Genomic DNA, 20,599 nt, shown 5'->3' with positions numbered 1-20,599 from the left:
TGCCTTCTGTAGCTTTTGTCTGTAAACCAAGTACTACAGTAGAAAGAAGGTGGGTTTTGCCACCTATTATATAATAAGGACATTTTTTTCAAATGGTAACTCCCGTGCTGACAAGGATGTGGCAAAACTCAAACTTCCATACTTTGCTGATGACAATGAAATGTCAAGTTGAAAAGCATTTTTAGTTCTATGTATTAGAACTCATGAAAATATTCGTATCTTTTGATCTAGAAATCCCATTTTGGTAAGTTTATCTTGAGAATTCCATAGACATCTGTAAAAAGATGTTCATTTCAGTGTTATTTATAAAAGCAAAAAATTGAAGTCACTCTCAATGCTCCACAATAAGTAGTTGAGTCTTGATGTATCCCCTGATGGGATATTATACAGTCAGTGTAAGTCATGAGTACAAATGATGCAATAATGTGCAAAAAAATCACAGATTATGTATATGAAGTTACAAGTCAACTCTAAGCCCCCAGCATCTAACCAAGACCTGACACAAAACAGGTATTTAGGAAATGCTTGTTACATTGAAAGTGACCTGCTTGCACGATCTTCCTGTAGCAGCCAGATAGAAAAAGGCTTTGTCTAGTAGAAGGGCTGACCTTGTCCCCACCCAGCCCCTAAAGCACACCTTGGGAACCATGAGACAAGGGGATGTTGACTGAGCAAGGAGGCAAATTACACTCCCTGGCTGTTCCTGCTGGAAGGCTCATCTGTGACTGCTCCCCACAAACCTCTGCCCGCTCCCCACAAACCTCTGCCCCGGTGTAACACACGCATCGTGGTGTCCTAGCATGGGCCTCGTGCTGACAAAGGAGTAAGCCCACACCAGGCGGCTTTGTCTTTCCTGGGAGATGGGGTCTGGCTGGGAAGAGCCTGAGAGGGCCATGCCCCCTGGGAGCACCCAGCCTGCCCTGGCATCCAGCGCCACACTCAGGGCCACCCCACAGTCTGTGCTGGACAGGTCCACTTTCCCCCCCAAGAAAGCATGAGGAGTGGGCATGGCCTGGAGCTGGGGTCGCCACACACACCATGTTGTATGTTTCCATTCTCATTCACTCCACCCCACTGTGTCTCTGGATGTCACATCCTAGGTGCTACTGGATGTGTTTCCTGTGATGAAGAAGAAGAACATTGTATCCATGGAATGTAGAGGAAACAGAGACCTAGTTGTCCTGTCTCTCTTTGGGCACAGCTGAGCTCAGGCACCTGGCCACAGAGAGGTTGTCACTGGTCACTGTGGCTGAAGGCCCAGTGGTTAGGTCTACCAGGTCAGGCTCTGTGCTCACTGGGGGTAGCCGTGGGGAGCAGCATTTTCCCTGCTGGCTGGGGCCAGGCATTGGTACCTGCAGCCTGGGCCAGTCCAGCCCCAGGGAAAGCTTGCACTGCTTTGGGGGCGTTCTACTCCCCTAGGCCCTGCCTGGCTGAACAGAACACTTTTCCCGTGCTGTGTTCTTGTATGAAAACAGACGTCCAGAATCCAGCCCTGGGAGGTCCCCACACTACGTCGACACGGCCACATTTTGGCCCCTGCAAGCCTCACCTCCACCCTCAGTGTGGGGAGCTTTCCTTCCAGGCCAGCGTCACACCATTGTCCCCGCACTGGTGACTTCATCCTCCACTTGGAATATATTTTCATCCTGAAGTTTACGTGACTCAGACCACAGGCCACTTCCCTTGGGGTGTACCCCCTACTGCCCTGCACAACCCCCACAGAACTGGAACCTCAGGGCCCCCGCAGAGCCCCTGCCTTCCTTTCTCTTGAATTCTCTAAGCTGGAGGGTGAGGCCAGCAAACGGCGACCTGGGTCCCGGCAGTCCTCAGAGGGGTTTTTGCGAAGTCCACTCAGACTTTTTAAAACTGGAACTGATATGGACAGATACTCTATGATTCCACCTACATGAAGTCCTAGAGCAGTCAAACTCATGAAGACAAAAAGTCAGTGGTGGTTGCCAGGGGGTGGGGGCAGGGAAGACAGAGTTGCTGAACAAGGACCGCGTTTCAGCTGGGGAGGATGGCAGGGTTCGAAGCTGGATGGTGCTGGTAGCTGCATGTCTGTGTGAACGAGCTTCATGCCACAAGTGGTGACTTCGGACAGTGAAGGCGGTCAATTTAGGTTATGCACATTTACCACAAGTTTTTAAAAAGAGAACTAGGAGACTTGACCTTAAAACTGGATTTCTAGCTTATCTTGAACATTTGGAAGACTGGGCCACGCTGGACCCACATTCCTGTGCGGCCTGGACCTGCTGAGGCCAGGGCTTCCCCACTCAGAGCTGCCTGCTGGCCCGCAGGCCTCTGAGCGGGCTCCCACACAGGCAAGGGGACTCGCTGTGTGTGTGTCTGGCCCCAGGCCCACACCTGCATTTTATGAGTCTCTATACGTGCTTCACCTAGACACTGGCCAGCATACAGCAAGTGCTTAGCAAAGGTGCACTGGGGGCTGGCTGCATGCACACTTGGAGGATGGTAGAAAGCATCTCCAGGAACCCCCAAAGCCTCAAAGAAGCAGCACAGTACCACTGGTCCACACCCCTGCGTGGCATCCAGTTGTCCATGTAAGAGTTCCATGAATGAAATCTCAGGCCTGCTGCTCCATCCCAAAGCCCTCCATAAGGTCACCAGCATGGCCGGTTTGCAGTATAATCTTCCAGAGCTTTCTCTCTGCTTTGATATCACGTATGAGCCAAAGGAAACAGTAGTATTTTGTGGGTTTTTAAAAGCATCAGTGGTGAGCTACGTAGGCGTCATTCAGCAATTTAAGCTTTTTCTATCCACAGTGGCTCTTGGAGGTCTTCCCAGGCCAGTTCATACAGTTCACGTTGGCAAGTTATTGAAAGGAGACCAAACTAATAATACTTAATTATTTCTGGTTGGCAGGAGTGGTTTGACTTTTAGTTCTTATTTCTACAACCAATATTTACTGCCCACTTACTCTGTGTCTTACTGCTCTAAGCACTTTATAGCAATTATCTCAGTTAAACTCACTAACAAGCCAGAGAGGTGGGGACTTTCACTACCCTCAATTTGCAAAGGAGGTGACTGAGCCTCAAAGAAGTTGAACCCCCCACAAGAGGCCTCCCTGTGGTGGATCCGGATTTGATCTGAAGAAGTCTCATTCTGGGGTCTTTGCACTCAGCGGCCACTTGAGGCTTTTCGGGATTTTTCCCAGATAGCTCCCTTGAACATGTTTTACTTTTGCAATCAGAGCAGAGATGCAGTGTGTATCATTTAAGATGCAGGCAAATGGACACAGGCATTTCCTTCATTCCACCTGGTGCCTCCTGAATTGAAGGCATCTTCAATGCTGCCTACTAGAAATTTCTGCGATGGTGGACATGTTCTACCTCTGCCCATCCTGCGTGGAAGCCACTGGTTGCGTGTGGCCGTAGGGCATTGGTAAGACTACAGAACTGAGTTTTTCTGCTTTTTCATTTTAACTGATGTAAATGTAAGCATAGCTGGCCTGTGCGGCTGGTGCAGATTGGGACCGCTTCTTTATACAGTCACACTGTCAGTTGGCATCCAGGGACTCTGTGCCCTGCTGCAGAAGCCCCTCACACCACCCTGCCGCTTGGTACTCAGGAGTGCTCACTCCTACAGGGGCTGGACTGGCCTTCTCCCCCATGCTGGAAGCTGAGCAGTGTGCCCAGATGGAGAGGGCCAGATAATCCCTTTCTAACCTCTCTGCAGGCAGGCCCAAGGAGTGGGACCCAGGCTGCAGGGTGCTCCAGCCTGGCAGATGGCTCCTGCCCAGGACCTCCTTCTGCCTGTCCATGGTTGTGAGCAACCCAGGGCTGAGTGGGTGCTGAACACCAGAAGCCTGACCAGCCTCCACCCTTCCACCAGCAGCTCCTTGGGAGGTAGAATTGTGATTCCAGAAACAAGGCCTCCCAAGGCGTGGCTTGCTCCTGTGTTTGCTGGAGGAATCAACAAGAAAGATCTAGGTTACCATTTCCTGCTTCCAGGAACCAAGAACACATTTTTTTTTTTTTTTTAAAGAGACAGAATCTCACTCTGTCACCCAGGCTGGAGTGCAGTGGTGAAATCACGGCTCCCTGCAGCCTCAACTTCCCGGGCTCAAGCGATCCTCCTGCCTCAGCTTCCCGAATAGCTGGAACTACAGGCATGTGCCACCACACCTGGCTAATTTTTTGTATTTTTTGTACAGGTGGGGTTTCACCATGTTGTCCAGGCTGGTCTCAAACTCCTGGTTTAAGCCATCTGCCCACCTTGGCCTCCCAAAGTGCTGGGATTACAGGTCTGAGCCACTGCGCCTAGCCACACGAGCACTTCTTACGTTATTCTTACTTAGATAATATTACCATGTGCCATATGTGAATGCATAATTAATGCCCGTTTTAAGAAGGAGTTGATGGGCGGTGGCTCATGCCTATAATCCAGACTAGGGCAGGGGATCACCTGCGGTCAGAAGTTCGAGACTAGCCTGACCAACATGGTGAAACCCCATCTCTACTAAATACAAAAAATTAGCCAGGTGTGGTGGTGCATGCCTGTAATCCCAGCTACTTGGGAGGCTGAGGCAGGAGAGTTGCTTCAACCCGGGAGGTGGAGGTTGCAGTGAGCCAAGATTGCGCCATTGCACTCCAGCCTGGGCAAGAAGAGCAAAACCCTGTCTCACAAAAAAAAAAAAAAAAAAAAAAAAAAAAAGAAGCAGTTGATGATTTCACTGTGTCCTGGAGGTGGCCAGTGATGTCCTGGAATTGCAAATGACCCGGGCAGATGTTCCAGTGCGGAGAATACAGGGCCGCTTTGGTCTGCAGCCTCAATTTTCATAATGACCCTTATCATGGCAGTGGGCATTTATTGAGTGCTTCCTGTGTGCCCCGCTCTGTGCTAGCCATCATCCATTCCCTCCCTCACTAATTCTCACAGCACCTTCTGACGTGGGCTTGTGAGTGCCCCTTATTGCAGGTGACGAGGCTGAGCCTTCAGGAAGTGAAGTCACTGCCCAAGGTCACACAGAGGTGACCTCCACCTTACTACAGTCACACATCAGAGGGTGCTGTGAGGATTAGTGAGGGAGGGAATGGATGGTGGCTAGCACAGAGCAGGGCACACAGGAAGCACTCAATAAATGCTCACTGCTATGATAAGGGTCATTATGAAAATTGAGGCTACAGACCAAAGTGGCCCTGTATTCTCCTCACTGGAACATCTGCCCAGGTCATTTGTAATTACTGGCCACCTCCAGGATACAGTGCTACTGGCCTTAGCCTCCTCATCTTCCAACTGGTAGATGGTGACTCTTCCCTCCCAGCTTGGGTTATTATTAAACAAGAGGAGGGCCGGGCGCAGTGGCTCATGCCTGTAATCCCTGCACTTTGGGAGGCCGAGGCAGGTGGATCATTTGAGGTCAGGAGTTCTAGACCAGCCTGGCCAACAAGGTGAAACCCTGTCTCTACAAAAAATACAAAAATTAGCCAGGCGTGGTGACATGCGCTTGTGGTCCCAGTTACTCGGGAAGCTGAGGCAGGAGGATCATTGGAGCCCAGGAGGTCGAGGCTGCAGTGAGCCGAGATTGCACCACTGCACTCCAGCCTGGGTGACAGAGTGAGACCCTGTCTCAAAAAATAAAAATACACAAATAAATAAATAAACAAACAAGAGGAGTAGCAGGCCTGATGGCCTGGCATGGGGCCAGGCATACCGCAAGTGCTTAACAAATGAGGCTCTTTTCTCTTTGCCTTCATTACATCTTAGCTGAATTCAAATTTGGAATAGTGCTTATTCATTCATTAAACCCAGGTGAAAGGAGCCCTTCCCCTCACCCAGCCCTGCCTGGGCAGGGATGCATGAAGCTGAAGTCTCCAGGGCAGCGGAGCCATTTCTCACGTGTTCTCTCTAGGACCAGACTCATTTACTCTTTGTGACTCATTACTCTTTTTCGCTGACCCAACTCCTGCCTTTTCTGGAAGCTCTGGGATCCTGACTTCAGCTGTTTTTAGTTGCTTATCACCCAGGCTTTCTAAAAGTTTCACTTCTTGTTAAAAAATATAGTATCTCACATCCTAGAGTAATGAACGTCCATTTTTTTAAAGCAATTTGCTTTTCCTCATGCAATCTTCTTTGTTTTTTAAAGTGATACTTAACAATAATTTCAGCAGAAGTGAAACTTGGGTTGCCAGGTGTCTGTACTTTTATTAGGTTTGACTGACCCTGAGCTCCAAACAATGGAACTAGCACTGTTTGGGAACTTCTGTAATCTCACAGAGGACAACAGATCTAACTGAATGTTTTCAAGGGAAAATAAAAAGGTCTGTTCCATGTTAAACCTGGGAGCTTTTAGCGTGAAGGAACTGAGCCGAAAGATGGTTTAACGCTTGCACTCTAAGAGAGCCAGGATTCTAACTGAAGGTGCAGACCAGCTGCCCCATCTCTTTGCAGAGCTGAACAGGAGAAAATCCTTGTAAGTGGGAGAGATGCAGACTAGATTCAGAAGGATCTTCCCCTGGAAGGATGCGAGCACCAAGAGAATGCCAGAATTTATACATTTTTCTCCTCTGAAACCATACAAAGGGAGGGAATGGGAGAAGGCGGGGAGCGAGCACGTGCTGGAAACCCACCTTTTGCCAGGTATGTTCAGCTGTTTCATTTATTCCCCCAACAACTTGATGAGTAGACAGGAGGTGACTGGAGGTAACTACAATCTTGGAATTTGTGTTTCATTCTCTTGCTTTTTTATTTTATGTGTTTATCACATAAGTATGAGTCTCTAAAAATATGTATATTTGCTTTTGCTTGTTTTCTTAACATTATAAAATGGAGTCATACTTACTCAGTCTTCTGTGATTTGCTTTCTTCACTTTGTGTTTCTTTTCTAAGACTCATCAGTGCTGCTTTGTGCAGCTCTAGTTTATTTGCTTTTCACTACTGTGTGATAATCCATTTGCCACAATGTATCCATTCTCTAGTTATAACAACGGGGCTGCTATGAACAGTCCGATTCCTGTGTCTAAGAGCTTCTCTTGGACATATATCCTGGTGTGGAATTGCTGAGTTGTAAAGTAAGGAAATTCAACCTTACCGGATACCAAATTGTTTTCCCAAGGGGGTTGTACTAGTTTCTCTCCCTCCTGTTGTAGCATATATGAGTTTATGACTTCCTTTAGATCTAAAAATGGGGACTAAGGCAATTCTTCCTTTCTGCTCCTAAAACAAAGGCTTGTTCCACTCTGGTGTTCATCAACAAATGACTTTAATTCTTCCTTTGGGTCTGAATGAGCCAAGACTCCCACGTCGGGCTCCTCCGGGTCTGTTGTGTGGTTCTTGAGGCTAGAGGCCCCACAGTGATCGTCTGTCTTATTGCCCTGACCACACATTCTGTAAGATTCCTCCTTTCTGATGCTGGCTGACTTCCTGTGGGTTGGCCAGGAATGCAGGGCAGACACCCAAATTGTAAGGGAAGGAAGTGTCTGTCCTCCTCACAGTCAGGGGCTCCCATCTCTCCAGAGCCTCAGCCCGTGTGCCTGCCATGACTGGCTGGCTTAGTCACCTGAGGAGAGATGACCAGGAAAATCCAGAGAGAAGGCATTTGCTGGGCTGAGGGGAATAAACTGCCTGTGGAAAGGTGGATTGGTCCTTGGATCTCTTCACCTGGGGGCTGTCAAGTTGGGACAGAGCCAAGATAAGAGCCCTTTTTCAAATGTGTTCTTTCATCTTTTAATGGAGTTGGTTTCTTTGGCAGGCTAGCAAATCCTGCAGGGCCCCTGTGCAGCCACTCTGGAGGGTCAGGGAGACACTCTGTGGTTGGCACCTGCGAAGGAGCAGGGGTGAGAAATGAGGAGAAATGTCTGTCTGTGCCGAACCCCCAGTGGAGAGCGTGTGGGCTCAGAGTTAGGGTAAATGAAGGCACGGGCGCACTGCAGACCCCTGATGGGAGAGGCAGTGGGCGATGCTTCCATGGTGAAATGGAATACTGGGAGCCAGGTGCCCTGGCGCCTCATGGCAACGCCTCCTTACTCTAGGCCGGCCTCGCTGGCATTCCTCTTTGAGCTGATGAGGGACCAGACCAGTCCCAGGTTAGCACCTGGATCCACTTTCCTGCATTTTGGGTAACACATGTTGCGTCTTTCCTCTGGTTATGAAAGTGAGACCCGGTCAAGGTAGATTCAAGGGAAAGCAGCGCTGCATCAAGGCAGCCATGGATCCCACAGGGTTAAGGGGGTGGGCTCCAGAATTAGACTCCTTAGACCAACCCGGCTCCACCACAGGAAAGGCTCCAGCAGGGTTTTCTACTTCAGACCTGGGCCTCCTGCTCTGCAAGGAACGCCCACTTTCCTCTGCAGGGCCACAACGCTCTACGCTGTACGATTGGGAGGCAGGCTGGAGGGGCTCGGCTGCCCTGCCCTCTTTACTGGGCTCTTTAGTGACTTGCTCCACGTCAGCACACCCACCCAGGTGCAGCTGCGCACCCAGCCACTCCATCCCTCTGCTCAGAGGCAAAGCTTCTCCCTCTGAACCCTGGAAGTCAGAGCGATGGCTGCATAGGGTCCTTTCTACCCAGGGAGGCATGGAGTTGGTGGATGAAGCTTTTGACAAGACTTTTCTATAATGATCTTGTGGAGACAGTGATATAATGAGGCCATTTTTTAAAAAATGCAAACATCCCTCTTGTGCCTAAAACTCTCCTCAGCCTCCCCTCTCTCTAGGTAGAGGCCAGCATCCTTACCATGGTCTCAGGCCACGTCCTCCCAAGACAGTGACACCTCTCCTCCCATCCAGTGGTCTGCATCTGCCTTGCCTCCCAGGCCTGAATCCCCCTCACTCTTGTTACCAGAAAGGGGTCCTGATCCAGACCCCAAGAGAGGGTTCCTGGATCTTAAGCAAGAAGGAATTTAGAGGGAGTCCATAGAGTAACATGAAAGCGAGTTTATTAGGAAAGTAGAGGAATGAAAGAATGGCTACCCCATAGACAGAGCAGCCTGAGGGCTGGTGGGTGCCCATTTTTATGGCTATTTCTTGATGATATGCTAAACAAGGGGTGGATTATTCATGCTTCCCCTTTTTAGACTATACTGGGTAACTTCCTGACGTTGCCATGGCATCTGTAAACTGTCATGGCGCTGTTGAGACTGTAGCAGTGAGGACAACCAGAGGTCACCGTTGTTGCCATCTTGGTTTTGGTGGGTTTTAGCCGGCTTCTTTACTGCAACCGGTTTTATCAGCAAGGTCTTTATGGCCTGTATCTTGTGCCAAGCTCCTATCTCACCCTGTGACTTAGAATACCTCAACCGTCTGGGAATGCAGCCCAGTAGCTCTCAGCCTCATTTTACCCAGCCCCCGTTCAAGATGGAGTTGCTCTGGTTCAAACGCCTCTGGCACTCTCACCCTCCTTCCACCCACCGCTCCTCCCAGCTCTGCTCAGACAGCCCTGGGCTGGAAAAGTCACTGAACCTCCTGAGACCCAGTCATGGTGTCCGTCAGTGCACTCGGTGGCCTCATAGACATGAGGTCTCCAGTGGACATTGGCTGCCATTTGTTGTGGTTACTTCCAGGGTTAGCCTCTGCCCAGCCCTTCTGTTCCTATTGTATCCCACACTTAGAAATTTGTGAAGTCTTCAGAAGAACATTTCCCAGTGGCCTCCCTGTTTGCACATCTGCAGGTGCTGGTGAGTGTGAACCACCTGTCCCTGCCTGACACGGAACCAGATCCTTCTCAGGACTCACCTGGGGTGAGCAGCTCTAGGCACAAGCCCTGGGGTCTGGGCGTGTAGGGAAGATGCCAGCCCTGTGTTTTCACACAGCGGGTTCTTTATCTTGTTAAGAAGGCTTTTCTTTCCCTCCTCAATCTTCAGTCCCCTGCTTCCTGCTGTGTTTTGCCCTGAGCTGTGAGAGTGACAACCCTGAGTCTGGAGTTCACACCCTGTACTCAAGTCCCTCCCTGTGGCTCACCTACTGGGGGCTGAGCGCTGCCCTTTAGTCTCTCCAGGGTCTGTTTCCTTTGCTAGAAAATGGGGAAAGAATCCCTACCTCACAAGCTTGTGGGGAACAAATGAAACAAACTCTGGGAAAAGTGCTTTGTACGTTATGAACTCTCACACAAATACCAAGTGCTGTTTTTACTACTTTTTAAAGGCTTCGTCTCACTTTCCTTACGCAAAGCTATTTTTTATCAGCTTTTTCTTCTGTAAGAAAATGAATGCTAAGAAAGCCTGGTTCCCTGAAAAAAGGGAAGGGGGAGGCTGGCTCTTCCCATTCCAGCAGTAACAGGATCACCAGGGTTCTATAGGTTCCCGGGGGACTCATTTTGTACATGGTAACAACATGGAAAGTTATTTTCAGACAGAAATATTTTGTAGGAGACTATTTAATCATTCAACAAAGGATTATCACGAATTTATTATACTTCGCATCGAATGCAGTGCTGGGGTGTTTTAAGAGTACCTAGGATCTGTTTTAATTGGATATGGTAAGACACACAGACATGAACATTACTGTCATGAGGGGAGAAGTTTATTCCATTGACAGGTCCCTAGAAACAGATGGCAAAGCATGCCACGCAGGGCCCTGCAGGGGAGCACGGGGCAGGTCAGGGGCCAGAGGGAGAGGGAACTGTGGGCCGGGGCTTTTATTGTGGCTTCCGAGGGGAAGAACAGGTGAGGTGCAGTGAGCAGGTTTAGGATTGATTAGTTTGAAGAATTTCAGGGCTCTCAGATGCAAGGCTGTCCTTAATTGTCTGTTGCCTGGCCCTGAGGTGATCAGGACAGGGGGACAGTGGCCTGGAGCGGGGAGAGTCTGATAAAGGCAATTGAAGTCCCATCCATGATGGGGTGGGACTGTCTTTCCAGGATCAGCAAGGCCTGAGATGTTAAAGCATCAAAGTACAGCAAATTTAAAAACATAGTTAATACATAGAGACACAAAACTAAAAATATCTTAAAGTCTGCAAAGCAGGGTTCTTTAAAATAATAATAATAATAATAATAATAATAATAATAATAATAAAAGCCACCAAGAGAGCAGCCAGGCATAGTGGTGTGCGCCTGTAGTCCCAGTACTTGGGAGGTTGAGGCAGGGGATTGCTTGAGCCCAGGAGTTTGAATCCACCCTGAGCAACATAACAAGACCTTGTCTCTAAAACAAATGTGTAAATACATAAATAAAACCAGGAGAAAAAGAATTCTCATTACAGATGCAAAACTACTTCTCAACAAACTCTGTTTCCATGGTGGTCAAGGAAACATATTGCATCAGCTATAGCTAGAGTAATGGAATTGAGTTTCTTTGGTAAGTGGCCATTATGGAAACACTGCCTACAATTCATTTCAACAGACATTGATCAAACACCCACCTTCTGCCAGGCCCGTGCCAGGAACCCTAGGGAATGCACAGGTGAATAAAGTATGATCTTTGCTCTCCAAGACGGCCCTGGCAGACATGGGCACATGCACGGTGCATTCCCTCCCCAAGTCCACACAAACATCATCGTTCACTCAGGACTGTTTTGCGCCCCATCCAGCCACACTCACCTTAGAAGCCACTGCAGCACAGAGCCATGTGGCACCCCTGCTCTCAGGACCCTCCATCTATAGGGTGGGGGATGGTGCTAGAGGAGAAAACGAGGGAGGACTGTGATCAACTCACATGTGACAGGGGCAAGAAGTGCTTCAGGGTTATGGAAGGGGTATGTTGCCTTTGAACTTGCAGTAGCTTCTCCAATCTCCCTGCCCACCCTAAGCTCTCCATGACTCACCTCCTCTTCCGGAAGCTGCACCTGCATTTAGGGAATTACAGTGGATGCCATGGATGAAGGGATTTAAAGGGCCTTAAAGGACTGGGGCAGGGTGAGGACCTCAAGGAGAGGCTGCCTGTTCAGAGGCACAGGGCAGGAACGTGTGCGTATGCTTCAGGAACCGTGGGCAGGTGGGTGTGCATGTGGCTCAGATTGTGGCAGAGGAACAAGTAGAAGCCTTCCTGGGAGGCTGGGAATACTGGGCTGGGATGTGCAGGCTGCATTCTCAAACAGTGGGGGCCGTCGGACCACGACACCATCAGAGCAGCTTCCGGAAGAGGAGGTGGGTCATGGAGAGCCTGGGGTTGGGCAGGGAGATTGGAGAAGAAGCTACTGTAAGTTCAAAGGCAGCAACAGTCTCCACCCCTACCGGGATATAACATGCAAAGAAGGAGACTGGATGCAGAAATCTAGAAGGACTTGGGGACCAATTGAATGTAGAAATAGAATTAAAGTCAAAGACGACAGCCCTGTTTTGAGCCTGAATAATTTGGAAGGCTCACAGGGCCTTTAACCGCTATGTGAAGGAGAGCCAATTATTTGCAAGCAATCTGAGGAGCTGTGGAACAGCCAGGAGAGTCTGACCACAGGTTGGCAGGATGGATCTGTAGCTCTGGAAAGAAGCCAGAGTCAGAAACAGTTTATCCAGGAGATGCCTACATTACCATCAGAGTCAAAGCATGGGAGTGATGCGCTTGGACCAGGGAGAGCTCGCAGAGTGACCTGGGGCCTCCTGCATGTAATGTGTGTCAAGGGCAGGCTCCTATAATGTCTCAATAATATGGGGGCTGGCTCATGAATAAGCAAACCAGTGGAGCTGAGCAGAAATCCAGAAATAGACTGGGCTTGAGTGAAAAGGGAACTTTAACACATGATAAGGATGACATTGCAATTCAGTGAAGCAATGAAGGACTTGTTCATAAATTCTGCTGAGACGATTACAAACCATCTACATTTTGGAACTTCTTATAGATAGTGTTGCAACAATATTGTGGACATACTAAATGCCACTAAATCGGTACACTTTAAAATGGTTAATTTTTTGTGAGGTGAATTTCACTGAATTGAAAAAAAGGTCTGGTAAAAGATGGGTATCTCCTACCCTACACCAAGACAAAATTCAAATGGGTCAAAGATTCGAATGTAAAAAAATGAAACTATCTAGAGATGGATGATGGTGATGGTTGCACAAGAATGTGAATGTATTTAATACCACTAAACTGTACATTTAAAGTGGTTAATTTTTTAGGTCATGTATATTTCACTGCAAAAGAAATATAAGTCACAGAAAATATGGCTGAATTCCTTTATACCCGTGGAGTGGGGAAGGCCTTTATCACCAAGAATCAAAATTCAGAAGCCATAAAGTGAAAAGATTGATAACTTGACTATTCAAAAATAAGAATCTCAAAAGAAACCAAAAATAAGAATCTTCTGCTTGGCTAAATACAATGTAAACAAAGTCAAAAGACAAATGACCAACTAATATACAAACAGCTCCTAAATGTTAAGAAGAGATGCGAAACCCCCATAGAAAAAAATGAGCAAAGACATGAATACTCAGTTTACCAAAAAAGAAGTAATGGCTCTTAAAATCTGAGATGTTCAACCCACACTTTGTCTCCTATCATATGAGCAAAAACCTAAATGTCAAACACACAGTCTGCTGGTCATGCCAAGAGAAAGAGGCCCTCTCCCGCATCTCACTCATAGAGTGAAAGGTGACACTCCCACATGGAGGGGAATTTGGTAATACCTACGAAAATTACATATGCATTTACATTTCAGCCAAGCAATCCTGCATCTAGGCACATACCCTGAAGATACAACATCATGCAGATGACATAAAATAGTCCAAGTTTATCTACCGCAGCCAACTGTTTAATAAATAAGAGCTTGGATACAATCCAAGTGTTTTGCGATGAGAGAGTGCTTGAAAAAACTATGGTTCACCCCCACAGGGCGTACTACGCAACAGTAAGGCAGAATGGAGGCAGGTCTGGGATCTGTGACACAGAGTGACCTCCAGAATATGTTAAACGTGAGGAAAAGAAAACCTGGTAGAAATCCAGAAATAGACAAGACTGTTTCTAGAGTAGGATATGTGGCATACTATCTTTTAAGTAAGAAAGGAGGAAAAATAAGAATAGATGGGTGGATGGATAAATAGATTAGACAGAGAATAGATAGATGATAGACTAGATGGATAAATGGATGGATGGATGGATGGATGGATGGATAAACAGGTAGTTTTCTTATTTTTGCAAAAAGAAATGCTTAGAGGGAAAAAACAGAAAATAATTAGAATGATTAACGCTAGGGAACGAGCGGGGAGATGGAGGAGATGGGGTAGAAGTGAGACTTCACTGGATGAATTTTTTAATATATTTCTGACTGTTGTGTCAAGTACACGTTTTCATATTTGGAAAAGAAAATTAAATTGAAAAGCAAGAAGGAAAAACCTACAAATGGAAAGAAATTTAATTTGAAGTTAATGCATCTAATTATCAAATTAGTAACATAAGCACACAGAGAAAATAATTATAACCTGTTTGTAAGAATTTAAACTTCAAACACAATACTCTAGTCATATTATGATTGAACTATATTCTAAAGACAAAAAAATGCAAAGCAATTCTAGCTTCTTGCCGTAGGCTTATTATTGGTGGCAATATTGGTATTGTAATTTTGACGCTATGCTATAAGTAAATATGTTAATGCTATTAGGAACCAAGATTTTCAGTGTAAAAGAAAAGAGATAAAATACAAAATCAAAGAAGGTAAGAGAAAACTTTAGAACATTGATTTCTTGCTCTGTTTTTTTTTTTTTTTTTTTTTTTTTAGCCTTGCTCTGTTGCCCAGGCTGGAGCCCAGTGGCACGATCATGGCTCACTGCAGCCTTGACCTCCTGGGCTCAAACGATTCTCTCACCTCAACTTCCTGACTAGCTGGGACTACAGGTGTGCACCACCATGCTAGGCTAATTTTTGTATTTTTTGTAGAGATGGGGTTTTGCCAAGTTGCCCAGGCTGGTCTCAAACTCCTGGGCCCAAGAGATCTGCCCACCTTGGCCTCCCAAAGTGCTGGGATTACAGGCATGAGCCACTGCGCCTAGCCAGAACATTGATTTATAGTTGAAAATATCTATATGGACTCATTTTTTAAGAATTAAGTTTTCTTAAGTCTCATGTAAAAAAAAAAGAATTAAGTTTTTCAGCTCTGCCTAATGAAGAGCATGAAAGCAAAGGCACCTCGGTGGCATTGGACACTCCCAACTTTAAATCTTGATGTTTAAACACTGAAAGGAAGTGGGGCTCCCTGGAGAAATGGTTAATTCCAAATCTGGGACAAGGAAATTATAAGGTGAGCCTAGTACATTTGTGTTGAGGAAGGGGGGAAGTTCTTGGTAATGAATGGGAACACAGAAACAAGTCAAATGACAGACCATGACGGGAAACAATCAGATACAGGATGTAAGGCATTTACTAGCCTGGCCCCTCTAAGACTAAAGGAACATAGCAAACAAATACAGCATAAGAGTTTTGCATCCTGGTTCTAAAACACCAGCTGTAAAATACTTGGAGACAATGGGGAAATTCGAATTTGGATTGTATATTAGATGATATTAGGGAGCTATTGCTAATTTACTTAGGCAGGAAAATAGTATTGTAGTTTTGAAGAGAATGTCACTAAGCATGCTGAAGTGTTTAGGGTGAAGTGTTTTAATAGTTAATAGATTATTTTTATAACACTTTTTATTCAGAAATACCTTCAACTTCACAGAAGGTTTGCAAGAATAGTATAAAGAACCCCTGTAGGCCAGGCGCGGTGGCTCACACCTGTAATCCCAGCAATTTGGGAGGCTGAGGTGGGTGGATCACAAGGTCAGGAGATCGAGACCATCCTGGCTAACATGGTGAAACACCGTCTCTACTGAAAAATAGAAAAAAATTAGCTGGGCATGGTGGTGGGCACCTGTAGTCCCAGCTACTCGGGAGGCTGAGGCGTGAACCTGGGAGGTGGAGCTTGCAGTGAGCCGAGATTGCGCCACTGCACTCCAGCTTGGGCAACAGAGTGAGACTCCTACTAAAAAGAAAATAAAAAATAAAAAAAAATAAAAAACCTTTAGATCCTTTACCCAGATTTGTCTGTTGTTATAATCTGCAACTTACTTTTCTTTCTTTCATTCTTTTCCTTCTTTCTTTCTTTCCTCTTTCTTTCTTTCTCTTTCTTTCTCTCCCTCCCTCCCTCCCTTCCTTCCTTCCTCTCTCCCTCCCTCCTTCTCTCTCTCTTTCCCTCCCTTCCTTCCTTCCTCTTTCTTTCTCTTTCCTTCCTTCTGTCTTTCTTTCTTTCTTTTCTTTTCTTTCTTTCTTTCTTTCTTTCTTTCTTTCTTTCTTTCTTTCTTTCTTTCTTTCTTTCTTTCTTTCCTGCTTTCTTTCTCTTTCTTCTGTTTCTTCTCTTTCTTTCCCTTTCTTTTTTTTTTTGAGATAGGGTCTCACTTTTGTCCAGGCTGGAGAGCAGTGGTGCGAGCACAGCTCACTGCGGCCCCAACCTCATGGGCTCCAGTGATCCCAAGTAGCTAGGATTACAGGTGTGCACCACCACGCCACCAATGTCCAGTTTCTGTTTTAAATTCTTTTTTAGCAACAGGGTCTGTCTTGTTATATTGCCCAGGCCAATTGTGAACTCTTGGCCTCAAGCGATCTTTCCACCCTGGCCTCCCAAAGCACTGGGATTACAGATGTGAGCCACCTTGCCCAGCCTGCAATTTACTTTTAAAAGATTCAGCCATTTTTATATTCATAAATGTGTATGTATACAGCAAATAAAATAACAACTGTTGAATAAAGATAGTAGGCATATGGGTTTTTATTGGAATGTTTTTTTCAGTGTTTTTGTGCATTTGAAAGTTTTGTAGTAAGAAGCTGGGGAGGAGCCCTATTTCAAACGTTGGAAGATCTTCAGGATATGGTGTCAAGTGAACGAAGCCCTACACAGAGCAGGATCTGTTGTGTGTTTCTTTGTGTTTAGGACCGGGGTAAAAATTAGGATTTATATTTGTATTTGCTTGTAAAGAGGCTGAGACACTAAGAGAAGAGTTTAGGGGAAGATAGGGAATCGGGTGGATGGGAGGAAGTGGGAAAGGGACCGTCAGTGTACATCTTTCATGCCACTTTGATTTTGTACCATGTGAATCAAATGTCTTTTAAAATGCAATTTTTTAATTAAAAATGATTGAATGAAGGAATAAATACAGAAATCAGCCAGGAAGGAAAAGAGAAAAAGAAAACACAGCCAGATGAGAAGGAGGAGAGCCAAGGAAGTCCATTTCCAGTGCACCCCATGACAAAGTCAGCAGGAGCATGTGGTGCTGAGTGAGCCAAGATCTCGGAAGAGGATGGGGTAAAGGCTTACTGGGGTGGACTCAGCTGAGGGTCGCACGGAGCCTCCAGGGCTGGAGAGAGAATGTAGGTGGGAAAAGGGCCATGAGTGTGGACCACCCCTTAAGGAGGGAGGGGAAGAGGGCAGCTTGGGGGCTGTGGATGAAGGAGGGAGGATGGGGATGCAGCTGGCACAGGGAGCAGGCTGGGCCAGGAGTGGTCGGAATCAGAAAGGGGGATGCTTCCAACGTAGAGGGCCATTTTAGACTGTCCCCATGTTTTCAAAAAAATGAGTGATACTACGTCCCCAGGGTTGTGAGGTAGGATTGCAAGTTTTGGGAGAATAGAAACATACGGAAGAGATGCCCAGATGAGCTTGTTTGGAGACCAAGCCTGTGGGAAGAGGGAGCCTGACACTGGGCAGCCCTGGTGTTGCCTTGGCTCAGCGTTTGTGTGCAGCCAGCCCTCAGGCTTTAGAGTGTGGAGGAGCAGCGGCTGCATCCAGAGAGATGTTCCACATGGAAATGCGGGGTCATGCCTCAAAAATTCAACACAGAATCACCATCTGACCCAGCAACCCCACTTCTGGGTATATACCCCAAAGAATTGAAAGCTGGGATGTGAAGAGATATTTGCACACCCATATTCACAGCAGCATCATTCACAATAGCCAAAAGGTGGGAACCGTCCAAATGTCCCTCGACAGACAAATGGATAAACACAACATGGTCCATCCACAGAATGGAATATGCTGCAGCCTTAAAAAGGAAGGAAATTCTGACACACACGACTACATGGATGCACCTTGAAGACACTGTGCTACATTAAATAAGCCAGACACAAAAAGACAAATATGGCCTGATTCCACTCAAATGAAGTCCCTAGAGTAGTCAAATTTATAGAAGCAGAAAGTGGAGTAGAGGGTGCCAGGGGTGTGGGGGAAGAGAGAGTAAGAAGGAAAGGGGAGTTGGGGTTTAATAGCTAGTATGAGTTTGCCAGGGCTTCCATAACAAAGGACCACAGACTGGGGCCTCGACAACAGACATTTATTGTCTCACAGTTCCAGAGGCTGGAAGTCCAAGATCAGGGCATCAGCAGGGTTGGTTTCTCCTGCAGGCTCTCCTTGCCTTGTAAATGGCTGCCATCTCCCTGCATCTTCACATAATCTTCCCTCTATGTCTGGGTTCTAATCCCCTCTCCTTACAGGACACCAGTCATTTGGATTAGGGCCCACCCTAAGGACCTCATTTAACTTAGTCATGTTTTTTAAGACCCTGTCTTCAAATAAGGTCCCATTCCGAGATCCTGGGGGTTAGAGCTTCAACATATGGATTTGGGGGACACAAGTCAACCCATATCAATTGGTATGTAGTCTCAGCGTGGGAAGGTGAAAAAGTACAGGGTTGCACAATAATGTTGATGCCACTGAACCTTACATTTAAAAATGGTTCAAACAGTACGATTTATGTTACGGATATGATAGCACAGTAAAAAGTAAAAATAAATTTTAAAAGAGAAAAAAGCTCAGAAGGGCAAGGAAAGGGGGAGTGCTGCTGAGAGGGTAGTGGGACTCCCGGGCCCACTGGGATGGTCAGACAGACCGTGGGGGGGCGACTGGGAAGGTGGGTGTGGGGGAAGGGCCAGTGGGAAACACGGGAGCTTGGGGCCTGACAGCAGGAGGGTCTCCAAGCTGGAGGTCTGGGCAGCCTGTCAGTTCCAGGTGGTGACCGTTATTACTGCAGCAGCCTCCCCAGAGGTGGCAGAGGCTTAATGAGTGCTTCAGGCTCTCAGCAGGGAAGGTCTGGGCAGCCCCTCTGGCTGTGTGGTCCCAGTTCTCCAGAAGCGCTTTCTTTTTTGCCATTTTCAAACCATCACAGCTGCTTTCAGCCCGAATGTGAAGCCACAGCCAGTGAGTTGTTTCTATAGCGACTGATGTCCTTCAAAGAGGGAGAAAGTGGAGGGCCCTAAGGAAAGAACAAGGGGGTGAACAGCACAGATATGTGACAGATTAAACTCAAGAGGGAGAGAATGTGACCTAGTTTCACTGCAGCTTCGTCGAGACGCTTTCTGGCAAGCACACCCGATGACTACATATTATTTTATGTTTGTCATATTATCTTCACCTAAAACTGTAAGATGAGGGGCTGAGTGTACCACTCTACCTAGTGAAAGGCCAATATTCAGGCACAGCTGCCAGGGGCAAGGAACAGGGAAAATGCAGGAAAATTCTGAGCCTTCTTCGTCTTACTCCCGGCTGCTTTGCAGAACACTGGGCATGCTGAGGCTCTCTGTGTACCTGTGCTTTTTCCCTTCCTTGGAAACCACCCCCAAGGGAGCCTTTGTAGTAGGTACACCCTGGCTCGTTGCTTCCTAGTGGTGTGATCTTGGGCACATTCCTCAACCACTCTGTGCCTCAGTTTCCTAATCCATAAAAAGTGGGGAGAAGAATTCCAACGTTCAAGAGTGGCTGGAAAGGGTTAAATGAGGTGACACATTCAGGCGCTCAGGAGAGAGAGCGATTGCAGTGAGGAGAACTCTGGGCTTGTGTAGGAGTCGACCTGGTAACTGCAGCTCTCTCTCATCTCCCGTTCCTTTCCAGTTGGCCACGGACAGAGCGAAGGGGAGAGGATGGTAGTGTCTGACTTCCACGTTTTCGTCAGGGATGTGTTGCAGCATGTGGATTCCATGCAGAAAGACTACCCTGGGCTTCCTGTCTTCCTTCTGGGCCACTCCATGGTAAGCAGACCACAGAAGACCCAGGTTAAATCCACCCTGGCTTCCAGCCTTGCAGGGGGAAGGGGGTGGCCCTGACTTCCTGCCCCCCACTGCTCTCTGCCTGGCTGGCATGATGTCTCCCTTTGTGCACTGCACTTGGAGTTCCTGGGCAATTCCGTGCTTAGGAAACAAGGGAGGCTGCCAGCCGGTCCTTAGTGAGCAGCTTGAATACGGGGCCTCTTGGAAAACTGATCTTTTTCTCAACGTTCTTTGGCCCACTTGGTGCCATTTCATAGTGAGGCTGCTAAGAGCCACTTCTTGGAGGGGGGAATAGCTCCTTCATCAATAAGAAGCACATGAAATGTCCCCAAACCCTGTGTGCTTGTTTCAGAATTGAACTCAGATGACAAATGTTAACTAGGGACAGAGGGTCCACATGGAAACAATTCCTTAAAGCTTATTCCAACTCCTTCCACCTTTTAAATATGTAAATTGAGCAAATATAATCTTAAAATGTAATCGAGCAAATGTAATCTTAAATCGGGGTCCTTAAACTGGCAGCCCACAGGCCAAATCTACCTACAGACAAAGCAGGCTGGTTGGCTGACCAAGATATATTGAACTGCTTGAATTTGAAGGCCTGGGGACATCTGACCAGGGCAGGCCTTGCCTCCTGCCCCATGGTCACTGCCTGGCTCTGTCCTTACATTTCTCTTACCTGCCCAGCCCCGTGAGCATTTGC

General features: G+C 47.1%; 1 protein-coding gene across 13 annotated transcripts in view, besides 3 other annotated features; it reads left to right on the top strand.

The window, feature by feature from the left end:
• The window catches only part of MGLL (monoglyceride lipase), a 134,120-nt gene that overhangs the window by 80,878 nt on the left and 32,643 nt on the right, over positions 1–20,599 (top strand). For 7 of the 13 annotated variants that reach the window (NM_001388316.1, NM_001003794.3, NM_001388313.1 and 4 more), the window contains exon 4: positions 19,742–19,878. In NM_001388316.1, the coding sequence (NP_001375245.1) occupies positions 19,742–19,878 (137 nt within the window). Of the gene's footprint in view, positions 1–5,903; positions 6,285–6,414; positions 6,604–19,741; positions 19,879–20,599 lie in introns of those variants that run through there. The other 6 variants (XM_047447384.1, XM_017005665.2, XM_047447383.1 and 3 more) reach the window with 2 other exon arrangements.
• Positions 3,771–4,333: an enhancer, noted in NCBI's record as "H3K4me1 hESC enhancer chr3:127456818-127457380 (GRCh37/hg19 assembly coordinates)". NCBI's record gives its function as "activates a minimal SCP1, AML or CMV promoter by ChIP-STARR-seq in primed H9 embryonic stem cells {active_cell/tissue: H9 hESC(primed)}" and the evidence as "EXISTENCE:reporter gene assay evidence [ECO:0000049][PMID:30033119]".
• Positions 7,395–8,310: an enhancer, noted in NCBI's record as "H3K27ac-H3K4me1 hESC enhancer chr3:127452841-127453756 (GRCh37/hg19 assembly coordinates)". NCBI's record gives its function as "activates a minimal SCP1, AML or CMV promoter by ChIP-STARR-seq in primed H9 embryonic stem cells {active_cell/tissue: H9 hESC(primed)}" and the evidence as "EXISTENCE:reporter gene assay evidence [ECO:0000049][PMID:30033119]".
• Positions 7,444–7,503: an enhancer, noted in NCBI's record as "active region_20461". NCBI's record gives its function as "activates an Ori minimal core promoter by ATAC-STARR-seq in GM12878 lymphoblastoid cells {active_cell/tissue: GM12878}" and the evidence as "EXISTENCE:reporter gene assay evidence [ECO:0000049][PMID:35858748]".

This window comes from Homo sapiens, chromosome 3 (genome assembly GCF_000001405.40).
Source record: "Homo sapiens chromosome 3, GRCh38.p14 Primary Assembly".
Lineage (NCBI taxonomy): Eukaryota > Metazoa > Chordata > Mammalia > Primates > Hominidae > Homo > Homo sapiens.
Note: the sequence above shows the minus strand (reverse complement) of the source record. Positions and strands in the feature narration are given on the sequence as shown.